The 11,427-nt window shown below is 48.9% G+C and overlaps 3 annotated features.

The window, feature by feature from the left end:
* Positions 2,958-3,017: an enhancer, noted in NCBI's record as "active region_23480". NCBI's record gives its function as "activates an Ori minimal core promoter by ATAC-STARR-seq in GM12878 lymphoblastoid cells {active_cell/tissue: GM12878}" and the evidence as "EXISTENCE:reporter gene assay evidence [ECO:0000049][PMID:35858748]".
* Positions 8,162-8,662: an enhancer, noted in NCBI's record as "H3K4me1 hESC enhancer chr5:153898879-153899379 (GRCh37/hg19 assembly coordinates)". NCBI's record gives its function as "activates a minimal SCP1, AML or CMV promoter by ChIP-STARR-seq in primed H9 embryonic stem cells {active_cell/tissue: H9 hESC(primed)}" and the evidence as "EXISTENCE:reporter gene assay evidence [ECO:0000049][PMID:30033119]".
* Positions 9,852-10,455: an enhancer, noted in NCBI's record as "H3K27ac-H3K4me1 hESC enhancer chr5:153900569-153901172 (GRCh37/hg19 assembly coordinates)". NCBI's record gives its function as "activates a minimal SCP1, AML or CMV promoter by ChIP-STARR-seq in naive H9 embryonic stem cells {active_cell/tissue: H9 hESC(naive)}" and the evidence as "EXISTENCE:reporter gene assay evidence [ECO:0000049][PMID:30033119]".

Consider the following 11,427-nt stretch of genomic DNA (forward strand, 5'->3'; position numbering starts at 1 on the left):
CAAGTGATTCTCCTGCCTCAGCCTCCTAAGTAGCTGGGATTACAGGCATGTGCCACCACACCCGGCTAATTTTTTGTATTTTTAATAAAGACAGGGTTTCATCATGTTGGTCAGGCTGGTCTCGAACTCCTGACCTCAGGTGATCCACCCGCCTCTGCCCCCTAAAGGGTTGGGATTACAGGCGTGAGCTCCCGTGCCTGGCCAATGATTGGCTTTTTGATGGGACTTTTGTAAAGCCAGAGGGTGAAGACTGGAAGATATTTCTCGGGGCTCATTGAAAATTCTGGATTTTTCTAGTCTACGGCAGAGTGGGGCTTGAGAAGGAGAGGCGATGACCAGAGCCAGCGAGGTCTCCTGCTCTCAGCAGGGTGGAGGGCTGGAAAGCAGAGGTGTCTGCAGTCCTGGGCAGGAGTCCCAGCTCAGGGTAGCCTTGGTGAAGCCTTTTACCTCTATGGTCCACAGACTCCCCAGACGGGCACATGGGACACCATAGTCCACAGTGTCCCTCCCAACTTTGACACTCTAGGATTCCAGACCCCTAGGATCAGAATCACTGTGGGAGAGGTGCCAAGTGCCTCAGGGACACAGAGACTTTAGTAAACTCAAGGCACGATACAGGGCTTGACATGTGGTCTGACAATGGGGAACAATTTTTCTTTTAAAATTATTAATTTTTTTCATTTTGTAAGTATTTTCATGTATATTTCTAAAATGTAGGAGCTCTTTTTAAAGCAAACTATAATACCATTATCATAACCTGTATCAGTCAACTATTGCCACAATGATGCTGAGCAACAAACTCAGTGGCATTCAATGACAAGAATTTGGTTCTCTCTAAGATTTCTGTGGGGCAGCTGGGTTTGGCTGAAGTAGGTGGGGCGTGGCTCCAGGTTGCCATTGGGGTCAGGTTGGCTTCATGTGTCTTACTATTTTGGGGCCAGCAGGCTTCCCTGGCATATGTTCTCTTGATGAGGGCAGGAACTCAAGAACAAGCCCAACCCTGCAAGCTCATTTCAACCTTTCACTGGGTCATGTTCACCAGCAACCACTGGCTAATGCAAGTTACAAGGCCAAGCCCAGAGTCAAAAGGTGGGGAAATGGATTTCACTTCCTGATGGGAGGAGCTGCCGAATTCCCTATAGATTCAGGGAAGAGGGAAAAATGGGGTCCATTTTTACAATCAGCCAAACCCAGCATCCTCCAATGGTGACCAATGAGGGAGGTGTATATGTATCTATTTTTGTTTCTTTATGAACTGTAGATTTATTGCACTTATTTATTCTTGTTAACACTCCTTTGACCTTTTCAGTTTAGCATTGCCCTAGGAGTCTCTGGGAACTTCCTGCTCTTTATTAATTATAAGAAGTTCCAGGCTCATCTTGTACATTTCCTGCCCCAGACCTAGAATTAGCACCTTTTTAAAAAGCTATGCATTTGTGCTGGGCACGGTGGCTCACTAAGGGAGGCCAAGGCAGGCAAATCTCCTGAGGCCAGGAGTTCGAGACCAGCCTGGCCAAATGGTGAAACCCCCTCTCTACTAAAAATACAAAATCAGCTGTGTGTGGTGGCGAGCGCCTGTAATCTCAGCTACTCAGGAGGCTGAGGCAGGATAATCGTTTGAACCCAGGAGGCAGAGGTTGCAGTGAGCCGAGATTGTGCCATTGCACTCCAGCCTGGGCAAAAAGAGTGAAACTCTGTCTCAAAAAAATAAAAAAAAATAAAAAATTAAAAAAATGAAAAGCTATACATCTGTAAAGCTTAAAGTCAAGCAATTTTAAAGCATGAAATGTAGAGCAAACTCCCTTCCCCTACCCCGCCCCCAGCCCTTCATTTCCTTCCATAGAGGCAGCCACTGCTATCAATATCTCATAAATCTTTCTAGAGATATTGTGAGGCTAATGAAGCATAAATATAAGATATGCATTTTAAATGCAAAAAAAGTTCATTTTTGTTTTACATTTTACAGTGTGTAATGGTTTTATTTTATAGTATATAGTAATAACAGCTAACACTAATATAGCATTTATCACGTGCTGGGAGAGCTGACATCCTAATGGAAATCTGCCCCAAACCAAAGGCCAGGTATTAGCCACACCTTTACTGCCTTCTTTAGGGCATCAAACCTACCCTACATTTAATGAGGTCAGCATTTCCCAAAGCATGGTAGGTGCAATGATTTTACATGGTACAGAGTGAACATTTGTTATTTGAGTAGTTAAAAACATATTTTAATATATAAGAAAAATAAAACAAGGGTAACATGAAAGCCTGTGGTGTCCCATGATTTCCAAGTTGCTTCCGTTACTGAAGCTGAGTTTGTTGGGGGTCTGCTCATGGCTGTCTCTGAACAGAAGGTAACCGGGAACTCTCACTTCTGATCCCATCTCTATTGTTGTCTTTCCTCCAGGTAGCTATGGGCACCTCCTTCCATAGACCCTCCAGGAGCATCTGCTTCCAGTCCTGCCTGGGCACTGAACATACTCCTTCCTCAGATGGACTGGGTTCCTCTTCTCCTCGAAGTCCCTTCTGAATTTCCATTTTCCCAGTTGTGAAGGGTGTGATTCCTAGAGCAAAGCCCTTACTTGAGAAATAATAGTGGTTTTGTTTCCCTACGGGAACTCTGACTGTTTCACCCCATGTTCTGCCTCTTCCTTTTTTAAAAATAATTGTGGTTAAATACAAATAGCATGAAATGTAGTGTGTTAACCACTTTGACGTGTATAATTTAGTGGCATTAAGTACAACTCATCTTGTGCAACCAATCTGCAGAACTATTTTCATCCTGCAAAACTGAAACTCTGTACCCATTAACAAGAAATCTCCACTCCTCCCAGCCCCCCACTCTTCCACTTTCCTCTCTCTATGAGTTTGACTACTTCAGGTGCCTCGCATACCTGGAATCAGGCAGTATTTGTCTTTTTGTGACTGGCTTGTTTCACTTAGCTTAACGTCCTCAAGGCTCGTCCACAGTAACATGTGTCAGAATTCTCTTTCTTTTTAGGGTTCAATAATATTCCATTGTGTGTATTTGCTACATTTTGTTTATCCATTCATCCACGGATGGACACAAGTTGTGTTCGCCTCTTGGCTGTTGTGAGTAGTGCTGCTCCTCTGTCCTTTTTAAAGGCTGCATGGTGTTCCACGGATAGAGTAGCATGCTTAGGAGCACAAGCTCTTCAGCCAGAGGGACGCAGGTTTGAATACTGCCTCCACCCTGAGAACACATTGTGGGATCTTGGGCACACAGTTAAGTGTTCAATGGAGAACTGTCAATGGAGAATGTTCACCCTCACCATGTGTTCAAACTCACAATGGAGAACTGTCACCCTCACCACAGTCATCTCTAGAAGAGTCCCTCCTCTCACAACCATGGCCACAGCTCTCCCTTTGAGCCATCCTACTCTCAACAACCCTAGGTCTCCTCTCTCTCCTCCACCTGGTGCTCCAGGGCTATCCCAATCTGGGTTAGTCTCTGTCAGCCTTCCCAGCCTGCAACATCATGCTGCCACCACACTGAGCCATAAAAGACCCTTCCCCGTTGCTTGGCCCTCAGCACAAACTGCCATGTATATGCACATCCCTCTCTACACCGAGGGCTCCATGGGGCCAAGTTACCAGTGAAGTCCCTTGCCTCCTGAACATTCCAGGCATCATCTAAAGGCAACACGCTGGGTGGCAGCTCTGCCAAGTCCCTGGAGCCTCCAACTGCAAAAGCAAGAGTTTTGTCAGCGAAGTTGTTCTCTCATTTGCCTTTTCACCTTCCTGGGTTCAGAGCACTGGTCTGGAGCCAATGTATCCAGACCTTCATCTCACTCTGCACCAGTTGGTTCTGGGAGTGCAGATAAGCCCCTCCCTCTGTGAGTCCCCCTTTCCTCTTCTGTAAAATGCAGAAATTGGCTCACAGTGTTCTCCCAGAAAGTGGCTCAAAATATTCTCCCAGAATGCCCTGGCTTTGATTTCCATCTGGCTACTTCAACTGATATTCATTTATCCAGCCACCCATCCTTCCACCATCCAATAATTTTTCTTTTTTTTTTTTTGTATGTATTCTTTTCTTTTATTTCAATGTAACGTGCTTGCATGTGGCAAAATTTTCAGCGTAGGGGTTAGAAAGTGAACACCTCTCGGCTGGGTGCAGTGGCTCATGCCTGTAATCCCAGCACTCTGGAAGGCCCAGGCGGGTGGATCACGAGGTTGTGAGTTCGAGACCAGCCTGGCCAAGATGGTGAAACCCCGTCTCTACTAAAAACACAACAATTAGCCGGGCGTGGCGGTGGGCACCTGTAATCCCAGCTACTCAGGAGGCTGAGGCAGAGAATTGCTTGAACCTGGGAGGCAGAGGTTGCGGTGAGCCAAGATTACGCCACTGCACTCTAGCCTGGGTGACAGAGCAAGACTCTGTCACAGAAAAAAAAAAGAAAAGAAAAAAAAAAAGAAAGTGAATACCCCTCTTAGTCACAGCCTCTAGGTTAGTGATTTCTAAACAGGGTTTCAGGGAGAGCAGGGGTTCCCCTCAGAGAACATTTGGCAATGTCTGGAGACATTTCTGGTTGTCACAGCTGGGGTTGGAGAGTGTGCTACTACTGTCATCTAACGGATACCTGCCAGGGGTTTCACAATGTTGGCCAGGTTGGTCTCGAACTCCTGACCTCATGTGATCTGCCTACCTTGGCCTCCCGAAGTGCTGGGATTACAGGCGTTAGCCACCAATCCCAGCCACAAGTGTGTATATTTTAAAAACCCAAATAGGCTCCAACTGCAGTTTTCTTTATTCCTTTTTAAATTTTTTTTATTTTATTTTTGAGACAGAGTCTCATTCTCTCACCCAGGCCTGGAGTGCAATGGCACAATCTCGGCTCCCTGAAACCTCCGCATCCCAGGTTCAAGCGATCCTCCTACCTCAGCCTCCAGAGTAGCTGGGACTACAGGCGCCTGCCACCACACCTGGCCCTCTTTATTCCTTTAATAACACTGGCAGTGACATTTCAAACACTTAGGAGCTTGCTGCTAGAATCATATTGCCTAAATTTATTTATTTATTTATTTATTTATTTATTTATTGAGATGGTGTTTCGCTCTTGTCGCCCAGGCTGGAGTGCAGTGGTGCAATCTTGGCTCACTGCAACCACGGCCTCCTGGGTTCAAGTTATTCTCCTGCCTCAGCCTCCCATGTAGCTGGCATTACAGGTACCCACCACCATGCCTGGCTAATTTTTGTATTTTTAGTAGAGGTGGGGTTTCGCCATGTTGGCCAAGCTGTTCTCGAACTCCTGACTTCGGGTGATCCTCCTGCCTCAGCCTCCCAAAGTGCTGGGATTACAGGCGTGAGCCACCGCACCCGGCCAGGTTGCCTAAATTTAAATGCTGGTATCACCACTTACTAGATGTATGGCCTAATCCCTCCATACCTCCATGTCTTCATCTGCAGAGTGGGGATGATTATAGTACTTACCACATGGCATCACATGGGATTAGTTATTTATTATGTGCGTTCCTTTGTATCTGGCTGGAGGTGGCAGCAGATCACTGTGCTCACTGCAGAGATGAGGACACTGAGACTCAGAGTCAGGCAGTGACTTGACACAGCCTGTCCAGTAAGTCAGTGGCACTTGGTGCTAGCTCAGGGCTCTCTCCAGTGTAAGCAGCACTTCTGATAAAGGTATGTTTTTTTTGGCCCGGTGTGGTGGTTCATGCCTGTAGTCCCAGCACTTTGGGAGGCTGAGGCAGGAGGATCGCTTGAGCCCAGGAGTTTGAGACCAGCCTGGGCAACATGGCAAAATCCTGTCTCTACAAAAAATTTAAGAATTAGCCAGGCGTGGTAACCCATGCCTGTAGTCCTAGCTGGTCAGGAAGTTGCGGCAGGAGGGTTGCTTGAGCCAGGAAGGTTGAGACTGCAGTGAGCCATGATGGTGCCACTGCGCTCCAGCCCAGTTGACGGAGCGAAAGCCTGCCTCAAAAAAAAAGTATATTTTTTGCTTATTTGTTTGCTTTATTCTGTTTTGTTTTGGGGAAAGATCCAGAAGACAGCAGGCCATCAGCTCTGTGCTACAGGGTAGCAGAGAGTTCTGCGTCAGGCCTCAGGGCATCTTGGCAGACACCTCCCTGTCCCCAGTTCCCAGTCTCCCTCCCCACTGTGGCTCAGCCTGGCTCTCCACTAGGCCGGGAGCAGGCTCTGCCTTATCTCCAGACGCCTGTTATCTGCACACCCATCTGTGGACAAATGGCCAGCCGGCTGGCTCCTGGGCACCCCTGCCTAGAGGGGAGTCCGCCTCTCAGGCCTGTGTCTGGCAATTTGGGCTGGAGCCCAAGGTGGGGGGTCTCCCAATGGAGGAGGCCCCGCTCAGCCCTACCCCTGGGGCTTTAAGCCCTAAAATGATGCTGCTTAGACATTCCATTCATGGGACAGGAATCCGGGCCAGGAAAACCATCCCATCCCACCATCCTTCCCTCACTTCGTTTCACATCAGGCTCTGTAAGGTGGGTAAGGGCCGCAATTGTCATTCCCATTGAGCAAATGGAGAAACTGAAGCTAAGTGAGGAGCTGTGTTGTGTTGCAGGTCACAGAGCAAAACAGCAGCCTTTCAGGGACTAGAACCTAGGCCCCTTAGCTCCCATCCTAGCCTCCAAGAAGGAGAACTCGCAGACCTCATGCTCCAGGCCCCACCCTGCCATAGATGCCAGGGGCAGGGGCACAGTCATGTCCATTCTTTGGGCCTTAGTTTCTTCACCTCTCAAGCAGAGATAAAAGTGGGTGACAGGGAGGAGCCTGTCCTTAGCTCCAGAAGGCCAGGGAAGCAGCAGGCAGAGTCGGGCAGGGCGTGAAGCACGTGGGGCTCTGGGCTCACCCTGCTGGGGCTCAAGTCCCACTTTCCCCGCTTATCTCAGTGTGACTTTGAGCAATCACTTGACCTCCCTCTCTGTGCATTGGTTTCCCCATATGAAAAAAACAGGGGAAGAACAACACGAGTCAACCTCCATGAAGTGCATAGCACGTAATGAGTGCTCATAAGTGTGAGTTACTGTTGTTTTTGTTCGCAGGAGAATATGGCGTAGTAATTACAGTATTGGGGTTGACGAACTGGCTGTGCTGTGTGACCTTGGGCAACTGACTTAACATCTCTGAGCCTCTGTTTTCTCATCTGTAAAACAGGGGCAGTGTGTCTTTGAGGCTCTAGTGAGGGTCTTGGCACAGATTGTGGCCCCATTGGCTGGGGTGAAGCTGGGAGCTGCCAGTGACCTGCAGGGAGGGGTGCCTGCCTGAAAGATGGAGACAGCCTGCAGGCCTTTGTTTACAGAGCCCATCTCTCCTCTGATGGATGCGGCCAGCAGAAGTCTGTTTGCAAGTTTCTCCTGGAAACATGAATCAAGGTCTGTTTGGAGAACACGTGCGCTCCTCTGTCAAACATTCCACCCGTGCTGGGGCCACAGAGCCTTGAGAGCAGAGTGGGTCCCAGATTGTCCCCAGAGATAGGGGATAGGCCAGGATACCCAGCCCCTCCGGCCAGGCTTCAGAGGGGACAGCCTGGGCTCCGAGACAGATGCCCTCCCTGGCCTCAAGGAGCTCTCTAGAAAGCAAGATAAGACCCGGACTCGACCAGAAAACAGGGAGAGATAAGGACCCATCTGCTTCCACTCTTGTCCCCTCTGATCCTCCACAGCAGCCCTGAGTGATCTTTTTAAAATGTAAATTTCATGGCTCACTCCTGCTCACAACCCTCTGTGACTTCTTTAGTAGTTGAATCAAAATCTGATTCCAGGCCGGGCTTGGTGGCTCACACCTGTTTAATACCAGCACTTTTGGAGGCTGAGGTGAGCTGATCACTTGAGGTCAGGAGTTCGAGACCTGCCTGGCCAACATGGGGAAACTCTGTCTCCACTGAAAATATAAAAATTAGCCAGGCATGGTGACAAATGCCTGTAGTCCCAGCTACACGGGAGGCTGAGGCAGGAGAATCACTTGAACTCATGAGGCAGAAATTGCAGTGAGCCGAAATCGTGCCACTGCACTCCAGCCTGGGTAACAGAGCGAGACTCCGTCTCAAAAAAAAATTTCAGATTCCTTAAACATGGTCTTGGAGGTCAAGTGGGATCTCACCCCTGCCTGCCAGTGGGACGCCAGCTCCCAGCCCCTCTCCCCTTGCCACACTGGTTTTCTTCCAGCTCCTCAAGCAAGCCTACCTCATGCCCTTCCCAGCCCTTCCCACAGGTGCTCCCTTCTCCCTGCCCCATCCAGGTGGCCCTTCTCACACTCAAGCTGAGCTTGGCCTCCCTGACCACCCCTTGTCACAGCACCTTACTCTTGCCTGGGTGGCCAACATCAAATTTGTAATGATGTGTGTATCTGTGTGTGTACACGCTCAGTCTCTGGGTGGGGCCAGGGTCACACATCAGTGCATGCTCAGCCCCTGGCACAATGCCTGCCACATAGAAGGCTCTGTACAAATATTTATTTAATGAATGAGTAACTGACCAGGAGGAGGACTGATCTTATTCTTGAGGTCAGTCTTATTATCTTATTATTCGGCTCACTGCAATTTCTTGAGGTCAGAAAATGGACAGTCATATCCAGTAGAGAGGAAATCAGAGAAGATGTTTTGGGGAAATTGGCACTAAAGCTGGGTTGTGATACTCGGGAAGACTTTGACTGGTGGAGAGGAGAAAAGGAGAGTGTAGTGTTTAGGCTATGGGTAGGCACTGAGTTGAGGAAAGGCAGCAATGTGAGGTGCTGAGACCCTAGGCTGCAAATGCAGCCACCTGGGGCAAGTCTCTTCAATCTTTTGAACCTCAGTTTCTCTATCTGAAATATGGGGATGATGATATCAACTTCCTAGACAGAGCATATGAGGAGGAAATAAAGCTTTTCATCAGGGCTCAAATTGCAAGTATCATGATTACACATTTTTATTTCACCACCATGCCAATCTGAAGATAGGGGTATTATTGTCTGCATTTTCCCCTGATACTAAATTTATTTTATTTATTTATTGGAGATGGTGTCTCACTATGTCACTCCGGCTGGAGTGCAGTCACTCTTCTCAGGTACAATCACAGCGCACTGCGGCCTGGAACTGCTGGGCTCAAGCTATCTTCTTGTCTCAGCCTCCCAAGCAGCTTGGACCGCTTGGGTATGTAGTGGTGCACTTGACCTCCAGATGTACACCGCTGACCTCGGCTATATTTATTTTTAATGCTACATATTTTTTAAACATTGAAACTATCTCAAATTTATAGACAAGCTGCAAGCATGGTACATAGAAGTGCTTTTCCCCCAAATGCTTTGAGAATAAGTTGCGGATATGATGCCCCAACTCACCTGAACATCTTTGTGTTTATTTTCAATAAACAAGGACAATCTCTTACAAACCGTAATACAGCCATCACCATCAGGAAATTAATATCGACACATTCCTACCATCGAATCCTCAGATCCCCTACAAGATTCTCACTGGGTTAGAACAACGTGCTGTGTTTAGTTGCCACATTCTTTGGTTTCCTTCAAACAAGTCCTCAAACTTTCTCTGAATTTTGTGATCTTGACATTTTGGAGCTCACTGGCCAACTAGCTTGAAGAATGGGCCTTAATTGGGTTTCGTTTGATGATTAGGGCCAGGCTACGCATCTTTGGCAGGAACACCACGGTCATTTCTTCTGTCTGCATTGTTTCCAGGTAAGGAAACCAAGAAGGTGGGAAAGGAAATGTGAAATGGCCTCTGAAAAATCCTGAGGTGGGAAAGTATGTGGCATATCCTACTTTAAGTCCTTTCTGCTGCAAGGATGTCCTCATTTGCTAGATTTTCACTGCAGCTGATCCTGGCCAGAACCCTCCTGACATCAGGGAAGAGGCTAGAAGGGGTTAGGGGCTTTTTAGAAGTTGTGGGCGGTGGGTGGGGGAGTGGAGAGGGGTGCCGCACTTTCCCCAAGAGACGAGGGCGCTGAGCTCCCGGTATCCTCTAGGTGGCGCACAATTCTCTGGGGAAAAGGAGAATTCCAGGTGAACTAATTCCACGGGAAGAAGGGTTGGTTTGGGAGGGGCTAAGCCCTGCCTACGGGCTCCTGTAGGGGAATCAGCTCCCCATCCCCCTGCTCCCTCCAGAGCAGCGCCCAGCATTCAATCATTCGCTCGCATTTATTTGTCTCCCGCCTGCCTGTGGCCAAGACTTGCCATTTGTAGGTCACAGCACAAAGCGGAGGAGGGCAGGGTTGTCTGACTTGGAGCTCAGGAAACCTCGGCTTGGGGCTGGTTTTGCATCTGAGTTGCTGTAAGACTTAGCACCTTTCTGGGTCTCAGTCGTTCCAACAGTTCAAAAAAGTGAGGATGGCCGGGCGCGGTGGCTTACGCCTGTAATCGCAGCAGTTTAGGAGGCCAAAGCGGGCGGATCTCGAGGTCAGGAGTTCAAGACCAGCCTGGCAAAGAGGGTGAAATCCCATCTCTACTAAAAATACAAAAAATTCGCCGGGCGTGGTCGCAGGCGCCTGTAATCCCAGCTACTCGGGAGGCCGAGGCAGAGAATTGCTTGAACCCGGGAGGCAGAGCTTGCAGTGAGCCGAGATCGCGCCACTGCACTCCAGCCTGGGCGACAGAGTAAGACTCCGTCTCAAAAAAAAAAGTGAGGATGTCAGCTTGGCTAGATTATAGTCCTGCTTCATCACCCAACCCCCAACCCCTATCTGTCTCCATCTTGAGCCCACCCTGGCCCCAGACTCCTCCTCTGTCCCATAAGAAAGGATTAAAATCTCACAAACTGATGAGAATGAAGTGTGAAAGGGCCTACAGGGTTTGAATGAGGGGGGAGGGGCTGACGCTTCAGAGCTAGCTCTACCCCCACAAAGGGGAGGTGGGGGGAGGGAGCTGGAAGGCTTGGAGGGACCTATCTTCCTCCACCCAACTCCCAGAGCTAAGCAGTACCGTGGCCCCCCACTCTTCCAGTGCTGCTGGCCTATGGCTTGCTTATCAGGGGTGGCACCCCCACTAATGCAGCACGGGGTGTCCAGGGACTGAGATCGGCTCTCGAGTTCCCCTGTGGCCACAAACTGTCCTCTGGACAGTTGACTTGCTTGGCGGTGCCTCATTTTCTTTATCTGTAAAACGGGCCAAAACCACTTTTGTCACAGAGTGACATCCTTGCAACAGCCATACTGCTGTTTAAAATCTTCCATCTGCTTCTCCTTCCTGCAGGGCAGGTGTAAAGAAGGCCTGGGGTGACCCAGCATCCTGACTTGGAGAAGATCCTATGGGGGAAGAGGGCCATGGAGTGGTCATCGCAGATAAGGGGCCCTTTGGTGCTTTCTGTCCCATGTGCGCTAATAATTCTTCAGCCACAGACAGCATCTTGCGACATCCAAAGTACTCTCATATCCATGACTTTATGTGACCCTCACATTCTACCTTGATTGGTGGGAAACTGAGGCTGGTAAAAGGAGATGTGA

This window comes from Homo sapiens, chromosome 5 (assembly GCF_000001405.40).
Source record: "Homo sapiens chromosome 5, GRCh38.p14 Primary Assembly".
Lineage (NCBI taxonomy): Eukaryota > Metazoa > Chordata > Mammalia > Primates > Hominidae > Homo > Homo sapiens.